The 26242-nt window shown below is 43.3% G+C and overlaps 2 protein-coding genes and 1 non-coding gene across 50 annotated transcripts in view, besides 1 other annotated feature; 2 read left to right on the top strand and 1 right to left on the bottom strand.

Moving 5' to 3' along the window:
• Nucleotides 1–25716, top strand: part of COL4A4 (collagen type IV alpha 4 chain) — a 197129-nt gene extending 171413 nt beyond the window's left edge. For 2 of the 18 annotated variants that reach the window (XM_011510570.3, XM_011510562.3), the window contains 2 exons: nucleotides 12893–12959; nucleotides 22445–25716. In XM_011510570.3, coding sequence (XP_011508872.1) covers nucleotides 12893–12921 — 29 coding nt within the window. In that variant the 3' untranslated portion in view covers nucleotides 12922–12959; nucleotides 22445–25716. The other 16 variants (XM_047443250.1, XM_047443245.1, XM_011510569.3 and 13 more) reach the window with 10 other exon arrangements.
• Nucleotides 1–26242, bottom strand: part of RHBDD1 (rhomboid domain containing 1) — a 199052-nt gene that overhangs the window by 6135 nt on the left and 166675 nt on the right. For 13 of the 31 annotated variants that reach the window (XM_047445981.1, XM_047445993.1, XM_047445984.1 and 10 more), the window contains one exon: nucleotides 3268–4744. The exons of 17 other annotated variants lie outside the window; for them this stretch is intronic. In XM_047445981.1, the coding sequence (XP_047301937.1) occupies nucleotides 4629–4744 (116 nt within the window). In that variant the 3' untranslated portion in view covers nucleotides 3268–4628. Of the gene's footprint in view, nucleotides 1–3267; nucleotides 4745–26242 lie in introns of those variants that run through there. One more of the 31 variants, XR_007082541.1, reaches the window with a different exon arrangement.
• Nucleotides 22508–22577: an enhancer, noted in NCBI's record as "active region_17196". NCBI's record gives its function as "activates an Ori minimal core promoter by ATAC-STARR-seq in GM12878 lymphoblastoid cells {active_cell/tissue: GM12878}" and the evidence as "EXISTENCE:reporter gene assay evidence [ECO:0000049][PMID:35858748]".
• LOC124900533 (small nucleolar RNA SNORA48) lies at nucleotides 23954–24087 on the top strand. The gene has a single exon (XR_007088726.1). It is a non-coding gene; the product is annotated as a small nucleolar RNA SNORA48 (small nucleolar RNA).

Here is a 26242-nt window from a genome sequence, read left to right as displayed (position 1 = left end):
GCAGGGCATTCGAGGAGAACCAGGGCTGAGCCAACCAAAGAAATGCCACATGCTGAAGTAGAAAACTCATGTCATGAGAAGAATAATCATCACACTCTTCTTTATAAAGCCCTTTCAAGGTACACTTCTCCACTTAGCTTTCACTCCCAATAGAATCATCTCAGTTTTGCAGAAGAGGAAACAGAGGCTCAGAAGGTGTTAGGGACACATCTGAGGTCACTGAGCTAGCATGAAGAACAGCGAACCTTCTGAGTCTTTTCCCACTTCCCCACGTGGCCATCGGTTCTCACACCGCAAGTGTTCAGGGTTGCACCTCTCACCATTCCCGCCCTTCCTGCCCAAACCCAGTGTCCCTTTTCTTCATGGATATGGACATGTGGGAAGCTCACTGCTATCTGAAAACAGAAAAATAAGAAGTTCCAGTCTAAGTTCTCAATTCTGTGGGACTCTGCTGATATCAAAGACGTAACTCTAAAGTTCCCACGTGGGTCTCCTTAAATTCCACTGGCTACTAGCATGGTTCGGCTTTCTAGAACCAAGAAGACCTTGGGTATAACAATACAACCCAAACCACAATAATGCCCGATTTGTAATCATGCCAGCTCTTAAGGGTATTTTAAATCCTTCCAACTCAGTGTTATTGATACAAAAGCCATCTTACTCTCTGAAGAATGGCCGAATTGCTTTGTTTCCAACTCTGAAAACTACACTGTTTTGAATATGAGTTGATCTGAGGAGAATGTTTTTAAGCATAAAAACTTATTTCGAAGAGAATCACAAAGTTGATGTCAGCCCCTAACCTACACCGACTACTGTGTGTGTGCTCTGCGTTGGAGCCACACTCGGCACAAGGCTTCCTGGCTGTCCACTCAGTCTCAGGTACACTCTGTCTTCTACTTCCCCACCTTTGCATTCATGTGTCAAATTGTTTCTATAGTTTCCACTTGTGTCATATGATCTACTACCTCTCTCCTTAACCTCCAGCATCCTTTGCAGGCTTTCTCGAAGGGTCTTATCTTTGTGTTTCTGATATGTACTCACATTTGTTCAGCACACAGGAAAGAATCTGGACAAGCTTCCTTGGGGTGGTAGGAGGTGTCCCCATGAGTGTAAAGGAAAAAGTATTAGTAGGGAATTAGGAGATAGTTTCCCAGCTCTGCCTGGGACTCGTGGAGACACCCTTCACAAGATGCTTCATTTCAGCAGTGTCCAGTTGACTCATACGTGAGAGGAGGCTACTGAAAAAGGGGACTTCCAGGGTCCTTTCCATGATTCTGAAGTTTGACAACCTGTGATTAAATCCCAACTCCTCCACTTTTTAGCTACACAACCTTGAGCAAGTAGGCTACCCTCTTGCTCTTGGTCTTAGTTTCCTTATCTATAAAATGGGAATACTGAGTAGCTCCTTTGTTGGGTTGTTGAAGGATTAGAAGAGATAATGCATATAAAATGATTAGCTGAGTGCCACATGACAGTAAATGCCTGCTGAACATTGGATGGTATGATTGTTCATCTCTAACATCATCAAGAATCATGTGCTAAATGTCTATTTGGTTCCTATCATTAATTAACTCTGTATAAGAGATATACAAAATGGGCTGGGCATGGTGGCTCATGCCTGTAATCCCAGCACTTTGGGAGGCTGAGGCGGGCGGTTCACGAGGTCAGGAGATTGAGACCATCCGGGCCAACGTGGTGAAACCCCGACTCTACTAAAAATACAAAAATTAGCTGGGTGTGGTGGCTTGGGCCTGTAATCCCGTGCTACTTGGGAGGCTGAGGCAGGTGAATGGCTTGAACCCAGGAAGCAGAGATTGCAGTGAGCCCAGATCTTGCCACTGCACTTCAGCCTGGCAACAGAGTGAGACTCTGTCTCAAAAAAGAGATATATAAAATGACAAAACCAGTGACTTCTTAAAATACAGAGCTCAATTCTGTTTGCAAACCCTTTGGCAGTGTTTTGTACAAAGTGTTGAGTTGCTAGTTACTAAATATCTGTCTTCTGAGAAATAGATATAAAAAGGTAATTAATGACTTTCATTAAGCAGCACGCTTTTGTCACATGAAGGAGCCTCTGGGTGACTGACAGAGCTGGAGTGTCCAGCCAAGATCTTCTTTTCTCTGCTTAAATCATACATTGGACATTTACAGGCCTGGGTGAAACGGCCCTGCTCCAAAGAACTTGGTAGAGAATATGAGTATTTATGAGCCTTGCCTCTGTGTTTTTGTCAATGGAGGTCAGCCCTCAATTTTACTCAAAGAAGCAGTGAGCATGCTTCAAAGAACCTCAGGAATACTTCCCGTGTTAAGATGATTTACCTCAATTACAGCACCAGTAGTAAGATCATAAAATTTATTGATTTGTGGTTCTTGATGAAAAACTGTTCAGTCCTCTACCCTTATGTAAAATGCAGTAGCCTCTGCATTTTACATCTAAGGGAAGAGAAGCAATTTTGTCCAGATAAGAATTGCTAAAAGGAACACCATGAGTTGATGGCCATTTTCCCTACCGTTCGCCATCCATGTAAATAGAGATGTTTGATTTGCTGCTATTCATAGATCCTGCCCATGATCTGATGAACGCACTATGCCATGCAGTGAAGTTATACTGGAGTCGCAGGATAGCATAGTATCTCTCCCTTAAATTAGGGAGCTAAAGAGGCAATCACTTTTTTTCTAAACCAGGAAACCTCTAAATAAATCACCAGTGTTCTCTGGGATTTCTATTGTCAGATGAGGGCAGCAGCATGCGACCCATGTTCTCTCTTTCAAGAATGTTACTTTATTAGCATTCCATGAACTGCAAAGCTCCCAAAATGCCTCCCCTGAAAGGATGGTTGTTAAGTCATTTACCGTCAAAGACCAAAAAGGCCTGAAGGGACCCCAGGTCTAACAATTTAGCAAGACATGAAAAGGGGAGATGCTTAAAGACAGTAACCACACTTTACTTTTTGAGTCACTAATTATAATATTCTCTCTTTATAAATAGTGTGAAATTAACTTAAAATGGTATAACTTTCATACAAATGGAAATTTCAGTTTTGGTTTACGAGAAAGGTAATATTTAGATGTGACTTTAGAGAGAAAACATTCGCATTTCTATCCTTCAATCAATCAAGACTGCAACAGTGGAGATTCCCTAATGCTGAAATAATATCTGGAATCTCAAAACAAGAAGCCTTGAAATGGAGATCTCTGTGATTTACAGTGGTCAGCACCCTGCATTGTGAAATAGAGATCAACTCAGCCCCTAGTTTACCACTTTACCTGTTGTACTTTTCTCTCCCCTCCAGTTGGTTAATTTTGGAGACCCTTAATGAACAAAAATGACTTAAAATCAACAGGCCATAATCCAGTTAACAATCGAGTAAGCTATAACATCAGGTCCACTATGTCAGGTCAGTGTTTCCTGCAATATAGACAAGATATGGTCAGACTTCTAGAATTCCCCCACCTCCCAAAAAAAGAAAGAAAAGTCAAAGAGACAAAGAATATTTGTGGGACAATTGCTACATGCTCACTCTGTTTACTGCTCCCCTACCCCTACACCTTGAAGTGTATAACTTGATTCATTTTCACAAACTGGACATGTGAGACCAATATCCAGATCAAGATATGAGGATATTTCTGAAAATACCACAATATTTCCTGCACTTATAAGCCACCACAAGCCCCCTTCCAGTTACTATACCCCGTTACCCAACAGTACCCATGATCCTGATTTCTAACTATAGATTTTTCCCCTATTTTTGTCCATAAGTGGATCCATACAATATGTATGCCTTGTGAGTGGCTTCAATTTACATTATGCTTGTGAGATTTATCCACATTGTTATAAGTGGTTTCTATCCTACTTATCCCTCCAAGTAGAATTTCTTTGTCTATTTTACAGGTGAGGAATTGAGGCTTAAAGATTTTAAGCAACTTGGCAAAGCCAAATAGCTGGTCAGTGGCTGAGTCAGGAACTCAAACCTAGATCCCCGCCTATTCTCCTTCAGACATGAGATGTTCCAGTTGTCTTCCTCAGCCCCTACATCAGCATGTGTAAACCTCCAGAATGTATTATTGCCTCAATTACGACTTGGAGACAGGGTCTGTTTAAAAGACAGCAGAAACAATGCATCTTCTGCCTTAAATAAGGCTCACTGCAAATAGTAAGGCTTTATTTTGGATAACTGGATGCATCTAGAATTAGGATCTCCTTTGACAAGGAGTAAGGTTTGGCAATAGATAGGTCTAGCTGCAAAAGTCAGCCTTGGTAGTTAACTCTCAAGTATTTTCTAAAATAGAGAACAGTTTGTAACTTCTTACAGGAATAATTCTCTATGCTCGTTCTATCTCTTAATATATCTATATCTATGTATATGAGGTCTGTAAAATGATAGAAAAAGTATGAAAACCCTTCGGAATATTAAAATCCTACCTTCCTCTCAGAAGCTCCAGGGCCAATGTGTCTGCTCGGAGGGGCAGCTGGAGCCCCCGGCCTCTTCTGATGTTTCTGATGCAGATTCCACACCAGTCCGCAGAGAGGGCCAGCCTGGCACAGTGCGGGCAGCTGCTATCCACCTCGCAAGGCCTGAGTCTTTGCTCAACTCCACTACAGGGACCCTGCAGCCTCAAAGGATTCCTTAGGTCCAAACTGCGGCCTGCTTCAGGCTTCCCAGGCATCTGGGTCCTTTGTCTGTTCTGACCTTTATCTTGGGGTCCAGGAGACTTGCCATTGTCTCTTTATGACCTGGTTTTCCTGCAGATGTTCAGGTGGGGCACAGTGGAAGGGAAGGACAGGGGAAGAGACTTACAGTGGCCTCCTCAGGGCCCTGATATGAGTCCTACTCCCAACCTCTTGCTTCTTGATCTTGAGACTGTCTTTGGGTAAGTTTTAATTACATTATTTTAAAAAGAAAAGAGTAGTGAGGGCAAGAGTGTTTAAATGATAATACACTGAGCTCAAAATAGAATAAAATATTGCCTCCTCCTGAAACACACTGGGTCCTGGCCCTGCTGCTTGCCACCTGCTATGACTTTCATCCTAAGAGAATGGTGGCAGCTGGATTCTCCCATTCTCAGCTTTTTAGCAGCCCTGGCCCTATGCACAGAAGTTTCCATCAAACAGCAACCATTGCCCAGTTTGCTGCAGTGGTCCTTAATCTGAAGTGTGCACAGAAATGAAGAACCTGTTCAAAATGCAGATTATTGGATCCCCTCCACCCCCTCACCACAGATTCTGATGCAGTAAGTGGTGGTTGGAGCCCAGGAACTTCATTTTAACGAGCACCCAGATGACTCTGTTGCAGATAATATATCAAGTCACTGAGAAATGCTGTGGCAAATGAATTCACTTCAACCAGATGTGGGTTCATATCTGGGGTCCACCACGATCTGGCACAGGTCACTTCCCTCCCTGGGCCTCAGGCCCCTCATCTGTACCCAGAGGGGGGCCTGGACCTCTGACTCCCACACAGAGGTTCGAGTGTCCATGATTGTTTTGTTCCCAGTGAGACACAGGCGTCAGGTGGTGGAGAGATGGGAGAGTGCAAATGTGTCACACCAGCAACCTGCCTCATTGGCCAGCTGCCTGAGCAGCTTCTCTGGAGACTGTTGCCTGTCCTACCAGCTAGCTGCTCATGACTTTTGGCAGCTGGGCACAGAAGCAGCCATGCTATGCTCCTTGGCAATGTCCTCCAACACATTTTGTCTCTCTTCAGTGCCGTCCTCCCATCCCAATTTTTTTTTTTTATACTTTAAGTTCTGGGATACGTGTGCAGAACATGCAGGTTTGTTACATAGGTATATGTGTGCCATGGTGGTTTGCTGCACCCATCAACCTGTCATCTCGTTATAAGCCCCAGATGCATTGGGTATTTGTCCTAATGCTATGCCTCCCCTTGCCCCCAGCCCCCAACAGGCCCTGGTCTGTGATGTTCCCCTCTCTGTGTCCATGTGTTCTCATTGTTCAACTCCCACTTATGAGCGAGAACATGCGGTGTTTGGTTTTCTGTTCCTGTGTTACTGTGCTGAGAATGATGGTTTCCAGCTTCATCCATGTCCCTGCAAAGGACATGAACTCATTCTTTTTTATGGCTGCATAGTATTCCATGGTGTACATGTGCCACATTTTCTTTATCCAGTCGATCACTGATGGGCATTTGGGTTGGCCCCAAGTCTGCTATTATGAATAGTGCTACAATAAGCACACACGTGCATGTGTCTTTATAGCAGAATGATTTATAGTCCTTTGGGTATATACCCAGTAATGGATTGCTGAGTCAAATGGTATTTCCAGTTCTAGATCCTTGAGGAATCGCCACACTATCTTCCACAATGGTTGAACTAATTTACACTCCCACCAACAGTGTACAAGCATTCCCATTTTCCACATCCTCTCCAGCATCTGTTGTTTCCTGACTTTTTAGTGATCGCTATTCTAACTGGCATGAGATGGTATCTCATTGTGGTTTTGATTTGCATTTCTCTAATGACCAGTGATGATGAGCTTTTTTTCATATGCTTCTTGGCCACATAAATGTCTTCTTTTGAGAAGCATCTGTTCATATCCTTTACCTGCTTTTTGATGGGGTTATTTTTTTCTTGTAAATTTTTTTAATAAACTTTTTATTTTGGAATAATTTTAAATTTACGTAAAAGTTGCAAAGATACTGCAGACAAGTCTATTCCCTAAATGTTAACATCTTACAGTACATTTGTCGAAACTAAGAAACCAACATTGATACATTCCTCTGAACTAAATTCCAGACATTTAGATCTCACCAGTTTTTTTCACTAATTTCCTTTTTCTGTTCGGGGTCCAATCCTGGAGACCACAGTACATTTTGTTACCAAGTCTCCTTAGTCTCTTTTGGTCTGTGGCTCTTTCTGAGTCCTTTCTTGACCCCCATGACCTTGACAGTCTTGAGTGGTAGCAGACAGATATCGTGAAGAATTTCATTCGGTCTGGTTTGTCTGCTATTTGTCCTCATGGTTAGACTGGGGTTATGGGTTTTGGTGAAGAATACCATAGAGGTGAAATGCCCTCATCACATATCAACGTGCTGTCAACATGACTTATCACTGGTGACATTAACCTTGACCACTTAGATAAGTAGTGCTTTCATCAGTTTTCTCCACTTTGAACTTTTTCTTTTTAAAATGAGTTCCAAGGGAATAAAGCTTTGGCCTTTGCCACTAAGAGTTACCTGGATAAACTGGAAGAGGTAGGAGTGGGCATCTCAAGGTGGCTTTGTCACTCTTGGGCATGAGTAGGATATAGTGGTCTGGAATCATCCCTAACCTTGCTGGGTTCTGCACCCCTCATTCCAGGTGAAGTGGGGTCTGCTAACGTTGGTGTGGGTGTGTGAATCACCAGGAGGGCTGTTTAAGAAATAGTTGCTGATTGGGTGGGCTTCCCACAGAGCCCAGGCCGCTGTAGTTTTAATGAGCTCCCGGGTGACTCCGATGTACATCAGCCTTTGAGAACCATTGAGCTACAGCTCGGATTTTTCTTGCAACTGAACATATCCACCCGAGTTTCATTCTGGTATTTATATCTGCCAGCAGGTGGAACCAGAGGCCTATGACATTAAATCTGCTGAAGAAAACTAGGACAAATTCCAGTCAACAAAGCATTCCGCATCGTAAGCAGAATTAGGGTTATTTTGAAACAGATGGGCGCTACAGAGGCTGCTGCATTGAATATTATGGAGTTGTTTATTGTCTAGATGGCCCGAAACCCAGGAGTTATTTGCCAGCATCTAGCAGTTTCTATGTCATATCAGAATTCTTCCAGAGCAGAGGAGACTGACAAGGCACTGGGAGAGATATAGATACAGATATGGATATGAATGTAGATAGTTTAACCAGTTCTAATCCTGAATTTCCTCCTGCTATTGTGCATGCTGCCTCGTGTTAGTGAGTGCTTTGCAGGAATGATCCGGAGCCTCCTAAATATGCTAACTCCAAATCAGAGGAGATAAACAGACATAATCTATGGTAATAAGACAATCAATCCTGGATGCAGTAATACTCAAAATGATCTATGTTAGGCCTAATCAGGTGGTACTGGTTACTGGCTCACATTTTCACTCAAACCCCCCACTTGTACTTGCCCCCAATCCTCCTCTTTGCTTCTGCCCCTCCTCCCCCTCCCCCACCCCAACCCCCAGGAGAGCATCAGAAGGGCGGAAGTGAGATAAAAGGCCCATCTAGCTCTCATTCTGACTGTGCCTGATGCCTGGTTCAGAGTGCACACTGCTGTCTAAGGACACTCAGAACTTGGTTTGACTTGGGGGTTTCTCTGGCCTAGCACTGAGTGAATGTACAAGACCAGGGCTTATAAATTGAGTATTCCATGAGTTCTAGGAATCTGCAAAAGTCTCCAGCACCAGTGGTTCCTTTCAGGAGAATATTTCTAATTCCTTAGCCTACGACCCCAGGGCGTTAGCTGTTGCTGTTCTGCCTGGTCCGCCTAGGCTCAGAGAGGTCACGAAGGCTGTCATGGACTCAATATTTGTGTTCCCTCAAAATCCATACGTTGAAGTCCAAACCCTCAATGTGATGGCATGTGGAGGTGGGGCCTTTGGGAGGTAATTAGGTTTACATGAGGACATGAGGGTGGAGCCCCCGTGATGGCATTGGTAAACTTATCAGGGAATGAAGAGGCCAGAGCTTGCACTCTCTGCCAATGTGAGGTCACAGTGAGAAGGCAGCCATCTATAATCCAGGAAGAGGGACCCCACTATAACCTGATCATATTAGTACCTGGAACTTCTAGCCTCCAGAACCGTGAGAAATAAATTTCTGTTGTTTAAGCCACCGGGTCCATGGTAGTATTTTGTTAAGGTGGCCTAAACTGACTAAGACAGCATCTTTGAAGTTGGCAGCTTGGCAACTGGTAGTTCAGCAGGTGCTGGCTGTCACAGCTGCTGGGCAGACCCCCAGTGATCAGAGCGGTGAACAGATGTGCTTTCTGGTGGAGAAGAAAGCACATCTTTCTTGGGACTCTGTCCTAAGTGGTGGCTTCATAATTGCCGGAGACAGCAGCTCCCTCCCTCCAAGGGACACAATGCCAGCTGCATGGCTCACCCTCCTATACGAGCAGGGACAGTTCCTCCATTCACAAATAACAAGATCCCCCACACCATTGCGTTTTGCCCAGGCTCTCAAATCTTCTGTTCAGCTAAAGGTATAAAGAAGCATTTTTGATAATATTTAGACCTGTTTTATTTTTTTCTCACTCCCTTCCACTTGAGTTTCAAACCAGAGAGATGGCCCAATTTCCAGTCCTTCAAACCAAGGATCAAGGGAATGTTTTCATTGACTTTTGAAATCAAAGACCATTTGAAATTAGCCAACATTTCCCTCAGAAACCTCAATCTTCTTAAAACACTCCTTAACCTTTGCACGTGAAAAAAAGTACAAGTAAACATCATCCCAAGCATTCAAGGAATAAGGAAAAAAAAAGACAAGCCAGTGGGAAAAGAACTTTGAAAAGGGACAAAAAGTTGGCAACTTCTGCTGAGAACAACCATCCCCGAGTGGTCAAGTTTAGGTCACCCTGGACAACTACTGCAGATAACCATGTGTCTTGTAAAACAAGGCTGTTGGGCCTGGGAAAAGAAATGGATTGAGGTGGCTGGCCCCTAGGCTAGGTGGCCTGACTGACTAGCAGCAAATAAAGTGAACCACATAACTGGCCCCAGGTCCCACAGCTACCCAATACTTCCGTGCCACATTCCCGCAGAAAACACAGCATGCTTCGAAGGGCTAAATACTAGATGCTGGATTTAGAACAGTGATTCTCAAATCCACGTCGGGGAGCTTGGTGAGAGGCAGATTCTAGGGTTCTAATGGAAGATTCCAGATCAATGTCTGTTGGGGGACCCAGAAATGTGCATTTTTTAACATGCACCTCAAGTGAGCTGGATGCCCACATGCCCCACTTTGAGAAACTCTGATCACAGGAATGCCATAGTGTGTTCTGTGGTTATGTTTGCCTTTGACCATTTGCACTAGCATGGCATTTGGTTTAGTACAAGTAGGTTTCTGGTGACATTTACTATGAGTCAAAGACTGGTAGTTTCCTAGGTTATGCTATGCTCAACCTTGGATGATGTAGATTTTAAAAGATAAAAGTGCAACCCAGCTATCCTGAAAAACACAACAAATACAATCGTTAGTTAAAATTCTATTTGTGATGACACTGGAGTAGAAGAAACTGGCCCAGTGTCACTCACCCAGTCCTAGGAACAAGGGAATTCACCTCTGGATCCCTGGTGCCTGGTACATAGTGGGTGCATCATAAATGCTTGAGGAATGAATGAAAGAACAAGCTAACACACCATTAGGGCAAATTTCAATTTCTGGCCTCAGCCACTAAATAGCTCTCAAATCCCGAGACACAAATAGTGAGGAACAGGTGAGTGGGGGCTACAAACTCATATACTTTGGAACACAATTCAGTCTATTTGTTTTGTCTATGAAATTCACAAGCTTTGCCTGGGCTCTGGGGTTCTGGCCACATTAAAGAACATTCAGTAGCTAGAAACAGGCTGAGATATGAGATGTATTACATCTATTGATGCTGAATGCTGTCTTAAATGTTTTAAAAGTTCAACTTATCTTTACTTTTTAACTACCATAAGCCTGATTAGTATATAACTACAGGTCCAGAAATACCAATATCAATGCATAATTACAAAAACAATCCCTGACCTAGGATATTGTCCCTGAGATTATCTGCGGCCTAGGAGAACACAGTGGTCCAAAGCCCTTATTAAAGCTGACAGCCACCTGGCATCCATCTTTTGCAGGTGGAACTAGAGGAAGACAAACTGCTCTGAGAAAAACCTGCAATTAGAGTGAGTTATGGCTGGTATCAAAGGTAACCAAATCATTAGGGGCAGGGCTGAGGGAATCACTGGGAACCTCCCAGCCCAACCCTACCACATGTGAGGCCTGTGGCCAGATGTGTGCTTGCTGGGCAAGAAAAGAAAAGAGGGCGGGGGGAAGTTGAAAATATGTGAAAGAGGAATGATATACTTATCAAAAGTATGATAGCCATGAATTTTGAGAGGCAGCAGCTTGTGGTTTAGGAAACCAGGGTGGGCTTCTCCACAAAGGTCTAGATAACTTGGACCATGAGGGCGATGCAACCTTTATCTGTTTGGAGTAGATAAGCTCCATGAGATACGTGGCAGTGAGAAGCCATCTGGAGAAATGCACAAACAAGCAGGAGCCCTTGCTCTCTGCACCCCAGAGCTGAGAAATTCTTATGTGGGTCAGAGTTAGCCTAGAATTGTGGTGGCTGGGAAGCCAGTTTCTGTGATGTGAAAAACTGTCTGAGAAGTATGATGGTCATTTTAAAACCACGCCTGTTTCTGTATTTGATGGCATTTAACCCTGAGTCTAATTAACCACTTTTTGTGTGTTCTTTTAGGTCTGATTAACTCATTATCCCTCTCCCAAATCCTAATCTTGTTCCCCATTAGAGAAAGTGTGTGTGTGTGTGTGTATGTGTGTGCATGTGGATGAGTGCATGGATGTGTGTGCCTGCATGTGTTTGCATGAGTGTGTGCTTGTGTGTGCTAACCTACAGAGGCAGGAGACAATCCTGTGACTGAAAACTAACATCTTTTTTTTTTTTTTGAAGTTCAATGAGCTCCTTTTTTAAAAAATTTTTTGAAGTTCAATGAGCTCCTTTATTTATTTATTTTTTATTATACTTTAAGTTCTAGGGTACATGTGCACAATGTGTGGTCTCGTTACATAGGTATACATGTGCCATGCTGGCCCGCTGCACCCATCAACTCGGCATTTACATTAGGTATTTCTCCCAGTGCTATCCCTCCCCCATCCCTCACCCCATGACAGGCCCCAGTGTATGATGTTCCCCACCCTGTGTCCAAGTGTTCTCATTGTTCAATTTCCACCTATGAGTGAGAACATGCGGTGTTTGGTTTTCTGTCCTTGTGATAGTTTACTCAGAGTGATGGAAACCTAACATCTCTTACAAACAAGCCCATCCAGCCTCAGGAAGGCCAAGGAGTGTCTCAGACTGGTTTTACACCCTTGAAATGGCCTGCCTCAGTCTCAAACTGAACTAGAATTAAACTCAGAAATTATTTTAAAATGGTCTCTGCTACGGAGAGATATTCAATAACAACAAAAAATGAGTTATTCCTACATGCCTATTAATAGACATTAATTATTTATAAATTCTAGTAAAATAAAACATTTTATGAACAGAAAAAGAAAACTCCAGAACTAAATTTTTTAAACATCAATCCCAAGTTAGGAACCTAGAATTAGGCTCATCTTGGGTAACTGAAGATTTAGATAAGGGAAGAGGAATATGTTGCTCTCTGAACTTCATTGGAAGTATCTAAATATGTGCTTTGGCCAGATAAAAAGCTAGCAGAGAAAGGACTATATGGTTTTAAGACCATAAGGAACCCTACAGATTTAATTAAGTGTGGATGGGAGACTGTGTATGAGATGCATCCAGGATGACATCATAAATATCATGCATTTCCAGAACACGAGGGGTGTCTTCAGGATGGTAGATCTGACTTGCTCATGTCAGAGATGGGAAATGGAAGTTCAGAGAAGGTAAATGGTTTTCCTAAGAGCTAAGAGGCACAGAACCACACCCCAAATCTCCCGTTTTCTCTTCCAGGCATTTCATTCTGCTTAGAACCTTGCTTACCAAATCTGGAGTGGATACCGGTGTCTTACAAAGCTGCCCTTCTGCTACCTCGCTCTGGTGGGGAACGAGAGTAGGGCATGGGTTCTGAATCAGAAAGAGCTGAGGTTGAATACTGGCTTTGCCTCTTATTTTGTGTCCTAGGATAAGCTACTTTATTCACTGATCCTCAATTTTCTTATCTGTAAAATCTAGCTCATGGGTGTGTTCTGAGGACCAAATGAATTAAAGGATATGAGCACCTGGGTCAAAGCAATGAAAGGTAAGTGGTGCTGACTGTTACACTAATGACCCCCTTTCCAGGCTGCCCTTCTCAGAAATGCCCCCACTATCCCTCTGGTTAGTCACACAAGCCCAGACCCTAGAGTCTTCCTTGACACCTTCCTCTTCCACTCGTCCTGTCCCCAAATTCAATCCATCAAAACCTGTCATTTTAACCTGAACATTCCCAAATTTGTCCATTGTTCTCTATCTGTCCTGTCACCAACTATGTTTGAGTCACCTGTATCATGGGCCTAGACCAGTGCCTAAACCGCTGTGATGGTTAATGTAGGTGTGAACTAGACTGGCTTGAGGGATGACTAGATGGCTGGTGAAGCAGTGCTCCTGGGTGTTTCTGAAAGTTGCCAGAGACTGACCGACATTCAAGTCAGGCGACTGAGAGAGGAAGATGCGCCCCAATGTGGGTGGGCACCATCCAGTGGATTGCCAGTATGGCTAGAACAGGGCAGACGGTAGAAGGGTACCCAGCCTGCTGAGTCTTCTTGCTCTTCCTCTCTCCTCCTGTGCGGGATGCTTGCTTCCTCTCCTCCTGCCTTTGAATATGATGAGCCAGCCAAGTAAAACGGGCTCCTAGAGAATCTCCAACTGACCTGTGCAATGGGAGGATGGGGTGGGGTCTCGGGAAGTTCCAGCCATTTGCAGGGGGGAGGAGCCTGGCCCCTCCTGTTCCTGGGTGGTGACCTGGGATTCAATTGGTGAGATGGGGGCCTGTTAACAGGAACCATCTTGCTTTGCTGAGTTTTTTCCTTTTTTCACCCAATAAATTCTGCTTTTCTCACCCTTCTATGTGTCCATAAGCCTTATCTTTCCTGGTTGTGTGACAAGAACCTAGTTTTTAGCTGAACTGAGGAGAAAGTCCTACAACAATGAGACTGCAGTTTCTTCAGCTCTTGGACACTGGGACTTTCAGCAGTGGCCTCTTGGGGGCTCTTGGGCCTTGGGCCTCAGACTGACGGCTGCGCTGCAGGTTTCCTTTGTTTTGAGGCTTTTGGACTGGGAATGAGCCACACGAATAGCTTCTTTCTTTCCCCAGCCCGCAGATGGCCTATCATAGGACTTTGCTTGTAATCACTTAGCTGATTCTCCATAATAAACTCTTTTTTATACATACCTACATCCTATTGGTTTCTGTCCCTCTGAAGAACTCTAACACAACCCTAAACCATTTCCCCACACTCGCTCCTGTCTTCCTACCAGCCATTCTCCACACAGTAGCTGGGAGAGCTTTTCAAAAACAAACATCTCTCCTTGCTTCATGTCCTCTAGCTCTTGGCTCAAACACAACTTCTCCAGGGAAGTGACTGTGTCCTCTGATCACCCCCAGTGAGGGTCCTTTGCCTGAAGCTCTCACAGGATCCCCTCCCTTCACAGCACATGATGCCATGGTTAGTGATTACTCGTGAATCTAATCATTTTGACAGCGTGCATTCTCACTGCGTTGTGAGCTCCATGGGGGCAAGGACAGTGAGGGTTTATGTCCACATTCTATGCCTGGGGATGAACAAATAAATGAACAAATGCAGGAATGGAAGGAGGTGTAGAGTGCTAAATATTGCCTTCATTATACAGATGTAAAGACTGAGGCTCGACGTAGGTGGGCAGTTTCTTGAGGTCTCACACCAGAAAACGGTATGGTCCATATGTCCAGGGGTCAGATCCAAGCCCAGCACTCTTCATATTCCGCCAGTTTGCTTTGGACACCAGTACACACATGTTTCCCTTTACCATCCAACCTTTCTCTACTCCAACTAGTGGCTTGGCAAAAAATTAGAGATTTTTAATGGGGGGCTAGCAGGCTATAGGAAGGGTTGTAATTGGTACATGGAGAAAAAAGAGTACAAATTGAATATTTGAATTTTAAAAAAAAGATGATCATGAAAAGGCACAAAATGTGTTGCTGTTTAGTCCAAGTGTAACAGCGTTCTAGAATTGTTTCTATGGATCTGAAGACAGATTAAGGGCAAGTGACTTGGCAAAAGGCCTAGACCTGTTTTCAGATAATTATCTCACAGTAGAAAAAAATAAGGGCAGTACAAGCTCCAGTGAGGACACTACACCAACATGACAGATCTAAATGGAACATACTTCTATGAGTCATTTATAGCTTTAAATACTATAGAGAAAAGAATGCATAAAACATGCCCAAACAGCCTCTTTTTGATGTGGTGAACTCTTTTAAAACCACATTGTTCAAATTTACGTTAAAATGCAAACTCTTCATGTTTACAATGGTACTATTGGAGGAACTCAATATAAAAGTACAACTGTTACATTCCAAAGACAAGACTTAGAACAATAGGCCAATTCCCAGTGTGAATTTATGAGCTGCTAAACCTCAAAAGATTTCTTCAATTAGCAATGAAGACTCTTGACATATTTGCAGCCTGATATAGGGGCTGCTCTTTATATAATTTGGGGTGTATCAGAACTTTTCCTTACTTTTATTTACCTCGGATGACAACTATTATGCTTCTCCCTGTGCAGCGTTTGATCCTGCTAATTATGCTACAGGGCCAGGATGGTGTTTCACGGTTCACCATTGCTCCTGGGGCAGGCTACAAATTATACATAATGCACTGCATTGTAATTGCTGCATTGTGAACTTTGCTCGCCTTTCCAACACAAAATACCGACATCTAAGTTGTTTTATTATTAAAAACCATAAGGGATTCTTTTGGATTATAAACATCTGAAGACGTAACATTCTCATGAATTCCAGCCGGCTATTTCGGACACTCAGTGGGGCAGACAAGGCTGAAAAGCAAAGCAAATACACTTCATATTTGTGTTTACAGAAAAAAAGGAGGCGGCAGTCATGAAGGCAAGACTGTGTTAAATGCAAAACTAAAGGGAGGGGGAGCTTGCCGAAGGGGAGACACAAACTGAACTGGGAAACCAGAGACGCGAGACATCCAATGATGCTCCTTGACTTCTCTGGGCCTCAAGTTCCTCATTTCCAGAACAAAGGCACAGAAACAAATGACCAAAAAGATCCCTTTTTCCATGAAGACAGGCATTCATGAGAGCAGTGGCTTGTTTCTGAGTCTCACTTGTGAGGCCAGCCTTATCCCAGCCTGAAGGGTAAACCAGGAACCCGAGTCTTGTGCCAGACAAGAGGCCTCTGCCATCCACCCTGTTTGTTTGGGGCCTCTAAGAAATAGATAATGGCTCTTTCAATGGGAGGAGGGGGTCAAAATAAATGAAGCCTCAGTTTTATATATAAAATGCCACCAAGTGGGGAAAAATATCAGAGCAGTATTGTGGTCACTGAAATTTATCACTGCCCTTGTGACCCAGGGCCAAGAGGCCTCACTCCAGACACCTACCCGATAGGCCCAAGTCATAGTACCTTGTGCCTGCAGCACTTAGAAGCCACACCCAGGCCCCGTTAAGGTACTCCTAACCCTCCCTTCTCTCCTCCTCTCAAAATGAGACAATAGCCTGATGTGTGAAGTTGGACTGGGGTCTCTTCTCTTCCTCTAAGTGTTCTAGATGAGCTTAAGGTAGCAGCAGCACCACACGGAACTGTGTGCATTCTTCATCAGTATACGGTGGTGAGTCTCCTACACAGTGAAGATGGGATAGTCAAAGAAGAGGAAAAGGCAGGGGAGGGTTTCCAGGTAAGGAGGCGTGGGTAAAGCTCACACATTTTGATAATTTACAACAAATTGTTACTATATTGGGGTACTGCTCCTTTGATGTTGCTGCATGTCAAAGCAGCTGAAGCAGACGTCTCGACTTGGACTTGGGAAGTCACTGACTAGACATCCTCATTTCTCTTTGTCTAGTGGTGTCTCCAGGGGGGTGGGCATATCCAAGATCTAGTATGACCAGAGGACACAGACAAGGTGACAGAGGACTTAAGTGACAATGGACAAGAGCTCCACACCTGGACTGCCCCAGAAGCCCTGCTTGGCTGCTAAGTTTGGGCTGGCCTTGAGGGAAGAGCAGGCTGTGCTCTCACACCTTCCAAGTGTCCCTAGTACCAAAAACTTGGGGCTTTGTACCTCTGCTCCAATCCATACTGCACATAGTCTCCAAACCAAACAGCCAGGACTTGTGACCAGACAGGCCCTGCTATGCTAATGGGGGCAGGAGACCTATTTTCAACTGGAACCATGAGTGTGACTGTTCCCCAGATCTAGATACAGAACACAACAACCCTGGGGCCACTTACATTACTCCTGCAGCCAAATGCACTCAATCAGAACCCTCAGAGGGACAAGGTAATCTTGCCTGCTATCTATTGGTGACAATGAAATCTTGCTTTTGTGTATTATCTCTTTTCAAACATTTTCTAAATAATCTGTAGTTCCTAAGCATCATCATAACTTTTAATATGTCAGTACACAAGGCAATACTTAAGGAGTTTATGTACAAATCATTGTCGAAAATTCCAAGCCTAACAGATTTTAATGAGTTCCTTCTGCATGTAGAAATAAATGTATTTCCCTGCATTGGACAATAGTTTGACGCCATCTTTAAATCCAAGCAGATTCCCCTCTTCTGTACCAAACTGCCCATTTCATTAGGAGGGCTAATAAGGTTTTCTATCATCTGAGTAGGACTGGCCTGGCTTCTGGGTGGCCCGAGGGGGAAATAAGAATGAGGAAAATCAAGAAGTTGCTCCCTCTAGGAGTGGGGCCCTCCCTCACCCCATGGCCATTCTGAGGAAAGCAAACTGTCATTGAGTTCGGGCCTCCCTCACCTCCAGCTTTATTGAGGTCTAATTGACAAATAAAATTGTATAAGTTTAAGGTGTACAACGTGATGATTTTATATATGTATTTATAGATGTGTGTGTGTGTGTTTGTGTGTGTAGTGAAATGAGTACCACAATCAAGTTAATTACCTCAGGGGCATCGATTCCACCTTTTCTACATGGTCCTGTTATGAAGAGTTTCTCTTTATTCTCATTTATCATTCTGGGGCACCATATTAAATCTTGGGAGGCCCTAGGAGAGCTCAGATCTGAAAGATTTTATATTAGAAATGGAACTGCCAACTAAATGGAAGGAGGAGCTGGTGGTTTTAAAAACATAATTTCCTTGCTACCCACTAAGAGTCCCAGTTCTCTCCACGTACCAAGGAGTCACTGCTGCTGATTCACGTGTGGCCATCAGAGCAGTGGAACTAGGCCTCATCTGTGCCACAGGAGCACAGCCTGGAAGAGATACATGGCCTGAAAATGGTAATGGGAGCACCAAGATCTCCAGGATGTCCCTGAGCCACGCACTGGCGAGGTACCTGAAAAGAGTGATCTCCAATTATACGATGACACCGTGAGCACTGTATGGTTCACGACTCTCAGCACTGTACAGTTCACGACTCTCAGCCTGCAGGGAGTATCCACCCTGCTCTTGGGTGCGGGACACTAAAGAGGATCCTGGTGCCTGGAAATCTATACAAATCACTTCCACAGGTACCTTCCCATTTATTTTAGAACCAAACCAGAAGAATGTAATAACTAGATGTCTCTTTTGTACATCCTTGTTCAACGAAAAAGTGACTCTAAAGAAGTTAATACCTTGACAGTCAGGACTAAAAAGAGCAACACCCAGGCCGGGCACGGTGGCTCACGCCTGTAATCCCAGCACTTTGGGAGGCCAAGACCTGTGGATCATGAGGTCAGGAGATCGAAACCATCCTGGCTAACACGGTGAAACCCCGTCTCTACTAAAAATACAAAAAATTAGCCAGGCCCAGTGGTGGGCGCCTGTAATTCCAGCTACTCAGGAGGCTGAGGCAGAAGAATGGCGTGAACCCAGGGGGTGGAGCTTGCAATGAGCCGAGATCACACCACTGCACTCCAGCCTGGGCGACAGAGCGAGACTCTGTCTCAAAAATAAAATAAAATAAAATAAAATAAAAAAAGGGCAACACCCATACAACACTCTGGGCTCAAGTCCCTCTTCAGCGGAACCTTCCCACATTCTATGCACAGGGCAGAGAAGACTCAGAATGCTAATTATTTCTTTGAAGTGTTACACCGAGTGCTGTGCAAAAAGGAATCGCAGGTGAGACAAACGCCGGCCATCTGTCAAAGCCTGACAAACTGGGTAAGGAGGCAAGCATGTGGAAAGGCGGTGAGGGGCACTGGGCCTCTTACCCACAAAACCCTCAAGCTCATTGCAGAGAGGCAGCCACTCTGCTATCAAAGAGCCCATGCGAACGAAAAGGAGATTCTCAGGGGTGGGCAGCCAGGAGGATGAACAGGCAGAATCACAATTCTAACACACAGTAGCCTTACTCATGGGCTCCGGAGTTGTTCTAACGCTCACAGGAATGCTGCAAGAAAGATACGACCTACTTCACTTCTGCTAGTGAAGGAGGCAGGTCAAGGCTCTTCTCATCTGGTTTTCACTTGCTCAGACAATAACAATGATAACAAAATGCTTGCTGCTTCCAAGAATGAACATCTCCATCTGTTTACTCTTGATCTAACTTACCTTTGTCTCTGGAAGAAAACAATTCAAACATAAAATGTTAGAGAGGTCCTTGCTAAGGGGACTAGGCAGGGAAGAGAGTGAATATTACATCTAGGAATCATTTTATGAACTACTCCTAAGGCAGTAGAGCTTTGCTCTTGATCAGTAAACACCAATCTTAGAATGGGGGCAGTTGGGTAAATGGCAAAGCCAATGAGGAAACAGAGTGGAAAAAGGAACAGGCAAACACTCACTTCCCAACTTTCCCAGATAATGAGCCCAGACATCTCCCCCAGGCACCCACTTCTTGGTCACCAGCATCTCTAGCACAGGAAAATGTCTTAAACAATTTTTTTGAGTAATGATTTCCTTAACTTGATGCCAGGCAAATCTCATTCTTTCTCTGGGAAGGATATACTTTGGGATTCCTGCTACAAATTAAATGGTTTGGATGAGTTTGGAAGAAGATCATTTAAGGACAATCAACACTATATAGTTCCGTACACACACATACACACTGCAAAAAGGAAATACTGAAAGTGAACAAGAACCCCGAGGCTGAAGTCCAGGGAGGAACTTCTGTGAGGAAGGATGGCAGCCACAGGGCACAACCCAAACTCAGGTAGGGCTCTGAATCTCTACTTTGAAGTCCAGGCCTACCAAGAAATTAAAACATAAATATAGAAAATCATATAGCAGTGGGGGAACCTGCATGGTTTTTTGTTTTTTTTTTTTTTTTGCTACAGGCTTCCTTCCTTTCTTTAACTTTAGTTGATAAATGGAGGGATTGGGCCTTCTAAATACATGTGGTAACTTGTGTACTTACCTATAACCCAACCAAAAACTGACAGAAACCAAAACATTTCAAATAGACTTCATGAAAGGCACCCTTAAACAGCAAGAGCTTGGCCGAGTGTGAGCAGAGAGCCCCTGGACTCGAGAGACCAGTCTGTGCCGTTCACTGTTGTGTCACTATCATAGGTGTCTAGTCATTATTTGCTGAATGACTGACTCAAAAAATTTCATAGATGGAGGGCAAGTTCCACCATTTCCAGCTCCTGCCTTGACCCAGAAGCTCCGTCCATGAAGCAGCACTGCAGGGTTTTGAGTGTGGCCCACGTCTGCCCTGGTGCCATCTAGTGACCCTGGGAGTCCAGATGAACTGGGTGGAGCAGCCTTCCCAGGCCCACTCATATGGGCAGACCCCTTTTTCCAGGGGGCATAGCAGGGCTGAGAAAGAGGAGGATGGCTCTGCTCTTTAGGTAATCCCTGTCTCTCTCTTCCCTCCTCTCATTTAGCACCTTTGTGTTTCTTTCTTAAGAAGTGGGCTTTTTCCATCAATGATTGACTGGATAAAGAAAATGTGGCACATATACACCATGGAATACTATGCAGCCATACAAAAGAATGAGATCATGTCCTTTGCAGGGACATGGATGAAGCTGGAAGCCATCATTCTCAGCAAACTAACACAGGAACAGAAAACCAAACACCGCATGTTCTCACTCGTAAGTGGGAGTTGAACAATGAGAACACATGGATACAGGGAGTGGAACAGCACACACCAAGGCCTGTTGGGAGTTAGGGGGCAAGGGGATGGAAAGCATTAGGACAAAGACCTAATGCACGTGGGGCTTAAAACATAGATGACGGGCTGACAGGTGCAGCAAACCACCGTGGCACATGTGACCTATGTAACAAACCTACATGTTCTGCACATGTATCCAAGAACTGAAAGTAAAATTAAAAAAAAAAAAAAGTGGGCTTTTGCTTTCTCTCTAGTTTTCTATCATGTTCAATAAGTTCCTTGCCACCAAATTCTAGAGCTTTGAAGAAAGGCCACAAAGATCCACCTTTGGATTAAAAAAAAAATCATATCTCAACAAAACACACAAATTACATGACAGATAACTTAGAGCAAATGTCCAGTATTCTAAAGAAAACAAACCAAAAGAAACAACAGGCAAAAAACACCTCTCTGATTTTGTCAAGAAACTTGTCTGAATATTTGAATGTTAGTAGCCACATTTATCCCATATTTGCAAGGCAAAAAAATAAACTATAGCAACTAAACAGAGAGAAAAGAATGGATTATGACCTGAAAGTGGCTATTGCTGCTTCATGAACTTATCAAAAGTCAAATAAGCTGGTAGTCTATTCTTTCTCATGCCTTAGCTGTAACAGAGAAGAAAACTGGCTTGGAACAAAACAATGAGAAATGGGGAGGAACACACTTTGATACACAGCTTGAAGATGCCCGTTCTGCTTCACTGTGATGACAGTGCAAAGGAAATGAGCCCGCTAAGGGTTCAGACGTCCTTCGACACCAGACTTTGCCACTTACTTGTACTTCACTTATTTGTTACTTCTTCTATTCCTTCTCTCACTCACTTGGGCATTCACCAACAAGCATTTAGTAAGCACCTGCCTCGGTTCTGCCACAGGTGTGAGGAGGGAAACAGGAGTGAATGAGAGCAAGAGGCGGCTTCAGCCACTGTAGGGACAGCACTCAGGGAGGGTGAGTTTTTTAAAGGCCCATGAAAATGTTCCAGACCTCAAAATAATTAGTTGGTTCCAAAATGAAACAGAAACTATAAAATTAAAAGTAGTAAACATTTAATTAAGTGTCTACGAAATGTACCATCTCAACTATTTATAACTCAACTCACATATATGATGATATATATTATACACGGGATCTGTGGGACAGATAGGAGATTGCGTATGTTTTAATACACTTGAAATGATGTGGGGCAGGGCTTTCAAAAGTAAAAGTCCACGAAGGTCCTCAAATGTCCCCACATGATGGGCACGATATCCCTCCTCTCCGAGGCACACACCAGCTGCCAAGATTGCCTTGTGAAATACTGAAGAAAGTCGCATCCCTGAGCCTCAATTTCTTTATGAAAACAAACAAAAACAATGGTCCTCAAGGCAGTTTTGAGAATCAAATAAAAAAAGTACATTGGAAAATATTTCACAGGCTGGCAGAGATGAAAAGTAAAATTGTTAACTCCTTACATCTTTATTCCTCCAGGTGGTGAGTGCCTCTCGCTATGTTTGATGCTACACACCTGCTGCCTGAGCAGCCCCTGAGAAGAGAAATGGACCTCTACCAGTGCCTAAAAATAAGGCTGCTTCCGTGCCCTCTGGCAGCCAACAGATGTTCACGATGGACAAATTCACACACAAACCAGGATGCTTCATGTACAGATAAAACTTGGTCCATATCATGAGACTCATATCATGAGACAAAGGTTAAAAAGGGGGGAAAAAAGCTTATTTTAGTAAAAAATGAAACCATTTTTCAATTAGTTTCAGTTCTAAGCAGACACCGTCTTCTGTTTGTCCTAAAAATGAGAAGCTGGAGACAGCTCCTCAATTCAGTTTTATTTCTCTCTTTTGTTGGCACTTTAAGAAACACCTTAATTCTCCCAGCTAGCAACAATAGTAGGTAAAAGGGGAAAATACATTCAATTCTGGGAAGAAAGGATCACATAGCACAGTGCAGAAGTATATCCTAGGAGGCCATGTGATTTTATTCTTTGTCATTTTTCTCTTTTCCCTTTTCTTCTTCATGGACAACCATTTAAGGAATGCGGGGGGAGAGGGCTGGGATGACGATGTGACCAGGTTAAAAGCAGCCCAGGACATAAAATAAAAAATTAAGGGGGGGGGGACAGTTGTAAACTTCTGAAAATAGAAACTGCCTCAAATGTGTTATTCCAGTACACCAGACCCTCCTTCTGAGTTCAAGATTCCCTTTGTGCCTCGCCACAGGATGTGTTAAGATGATATACAGTGTGTTTAAATAAAACAAGAAAACAAACCAAGAAAAATTTAGCATTATGAAGAATGAGAGTCTACTAAAAATACTCTAAAATGACTTCAAACATGAAATCACATTTAAAAAATAACTTTTTAATGACTTAGGCATAAGTGACTCAGGAACATATGGATTACATTTCCTTCAAAATGCATATGGCTTTAACAATTGGGGGAGATTTGTTTGGTTTGTAGGACACAGTTCTGAAAAGGAAAGAAGTCTGTCAAACGGGACTCACGTTTTCTGGTGCTTTCTTTGGTGACGGAGTCAATTGGCCTTAATGGCCATTACCTAAGAAACTTGGAACAGCTTCCTTGGATGTAGTTTAACTCCCTTTCCCTATTTAGGCAAAGTATTCAACACATTTATAATAAATGACTCTCCTTCACCCCTAATATCTCAAGCATCAAAAACAGGTCTACTTCCTTAAAAAAAAAAAAAAAAAAAAGGCTGAGCTGTCTTAGCCCAGAGCAAATGGCTATTGCTGCTTTGTGACAGTTGGGCACAGACTTATATACAGGGATGTTTTTCATTCTTTTAGCCCATTAGGAACTAAGGTCAAGAGAATGTCACTTTTTTTTTCTTAAAAACACAAATTTTAGACAAAGTCTGCAACAATCAGGCTCTCTGTTACCGGCCGAGCCTTCGGTTTTTATCACACCAACCTCACACTCTCACCAATGCTACTGCCACCACCACCATGACTATAAAACACCTCAGTGTTCTGACATGGGAAGAGTAGCTTCTGGTTGGTGGAGCCCATCTCACATTAGCCAGAGACAAAGCAACACCTTGTTTATCCCGGCTTGGCTTTTGGCCTGTGTCCATGACTGGTCCATACCTTGGACACATGGATGGTTAAAGAAAGAAAAAAAATCCCTTAGCATTCACAATGTTTAACTGTTTCCAAAAGGCACCCTCAAATATCATCTTCTTCCATCCTGGAGGACAGTTATGACAAGTACTGAACCCACTCCTCAGATGAGGAAATTGAGAGCTGAGGTTCAGGGAAAAGCCACATAGCAACAACTAGCCATTCTGCAAACACCGATTATACTTTCATGCCTTGGCTTCTTTTATTGTTTCCTTTGGCTAATTTTTAATAGTCACCCCCTCTAGAATGCCAACTGCCCCACTTAAAAATTCCCCATTTTCAAGGGTCAGAACAAATGGCACATGTTTCGGAGAGAGTGCGCAAACATTCAATCTCCAAGTGCGATGCTCTTTTTTGTGTGTCAAGTGGGCTAAGCCACCATCTCAGGTTATTCAATTAAACACTAATCAGGGTGCTGCTGTGAAGGCATCTGGTAGATGTGATTAAAGTCCATAATCAGCTGACTTTAAGGGAGATTATTTTAGATAATGTGGATGAGCCTGATTCAATCGGTTAAAAGGCCTTAAGAGCAGAGCTGAAACTTCCCTGAAGAAGAAGAAATTCTGCTTGTGGACTACAGCTTCAGCCAAGTGCCTGAGAGTTCCTGCTCACCCTTCCTGACGGCCTGCCCTACAGATTTTGGACTTGCCTGGTCAGCCTCCACAATCACATAGGCACTTCCTTGCAATAATAGCTCTTAATATATGTCTCCACTGGTTTTGTCTCCTGGTTGAACCTTAACTGATAAACCAGGTAATATCCCCTCTGGGTTCTTCCAGTTTATACAACTCTTATATCATTTCCAGCTTATTGGTGGTACTGTAACTTCTTTGTAGGTAGGCTCATGTCTCCTATCTTTGTAAACTACACAGCACTAAATATTTGCTGCAAGAATTAAATTATGTTATGCAAGAGCAGGACAGAGGGTGTTTCACCCTCCTATGAGATAAGTAAAACTCATACAAAATGCTCATGAAGAGATATAACTAGCAAAAGAGAGTCATGGCCTTAGAAGTAATTTTACTGAAGAAATATTACTGTCACCTACCAACAGGTTACAGAGTTTCTCTTCATTGTACAGGACAGTCCTGTGCCTGCAGGGTATTTAACATTCCTGGGCCCCTGGCACTGAATGAAAATTGTAACCCCTCTACCCTGACTCCTATCATTTCAACAACCCAAAAGCCCTCTCACACACACATTTGCAAATGCCTCTTGGGGGTGTGGACATACTACACTCTTCTCTAGTTAAGAATTACCTTCTTTCCACTATAACAATTAAAATTTATCAAGCTACAGACAGAAAAATTACTACAACAATGACTTCTACAACGAGTTGTAGAATTACGGATCAGAAAAGTGGAATTCCACTAATAGGTTATCATGAAGGCCAAAAAGCCATCACATGCAGAAAGTTAGAGGTGGGATAAGGGAGGGGGGAGGGATAGCATTAGGAGATATACCTAATGTTAAATGACGAGTTAATGGGTGCAGCACACCAACATGGCACATGTATACATATGTAACAAACCTGCACATTGTGCACATGTACCCTAAAATTTAAAGTATAATAATAATAAAATAAAGAAAAAAAGAATTCTCAACTTCAGATATTTTATTCAGGCTGATTTATATAATCTCTTTATTAATTCAACAAGTACTTAACAGCCCTCCTATAAGCCAGACACAGTTTGTTACCAGATCATGGGAAAAAAGCTAGGAAGATTTTCATCAAGTATGGAGGGTACACTTGGGAGATCCTGACTTGAAATATTTGTTATGTGGGATTTATGCAATTTACTCTTGGGAACGGGGGCCACTTCACAAAGAGTTGGTCCATCTTCTATAACAGGTTCTCAGATGATTTCCAGATCTGCATCACAGCATCATCAGGGAATTTGTTAGAAAAGCAAATTCTCAGACCTCATCCCAGAACAACTAAATCATGAACTCTGAGAGTGGGACCCAGCAATGGTTCTCAAATTTTATTGTACAACAGAATCATCTGCAGAGCTTATTAAAACACATAATCCCGGGTCTCACACGCAAAGCTTCTGGTGCAGTAGATCTCCCATGCTCCCAACCTCCCCACAACCCACCCCACTCCCATTTCTACCAAAAAAAAAAAAAATTAA

Source organism: Homo sapiens, chromosome 2 (genome assembly GCF_000001405.40).
Source record: "Homo sapiens chromosome 2, GRCh38.p14 Primary Assembly".
Taxonomy (NCBI): Eukaryota; Metazoa; Chordata; class Mammalia; order Primates; family Hominidae; genus Homo; species Homo sapiens.
This window is presented reverse-complemented; position numbering and strand designations above follow the sequence as displayed.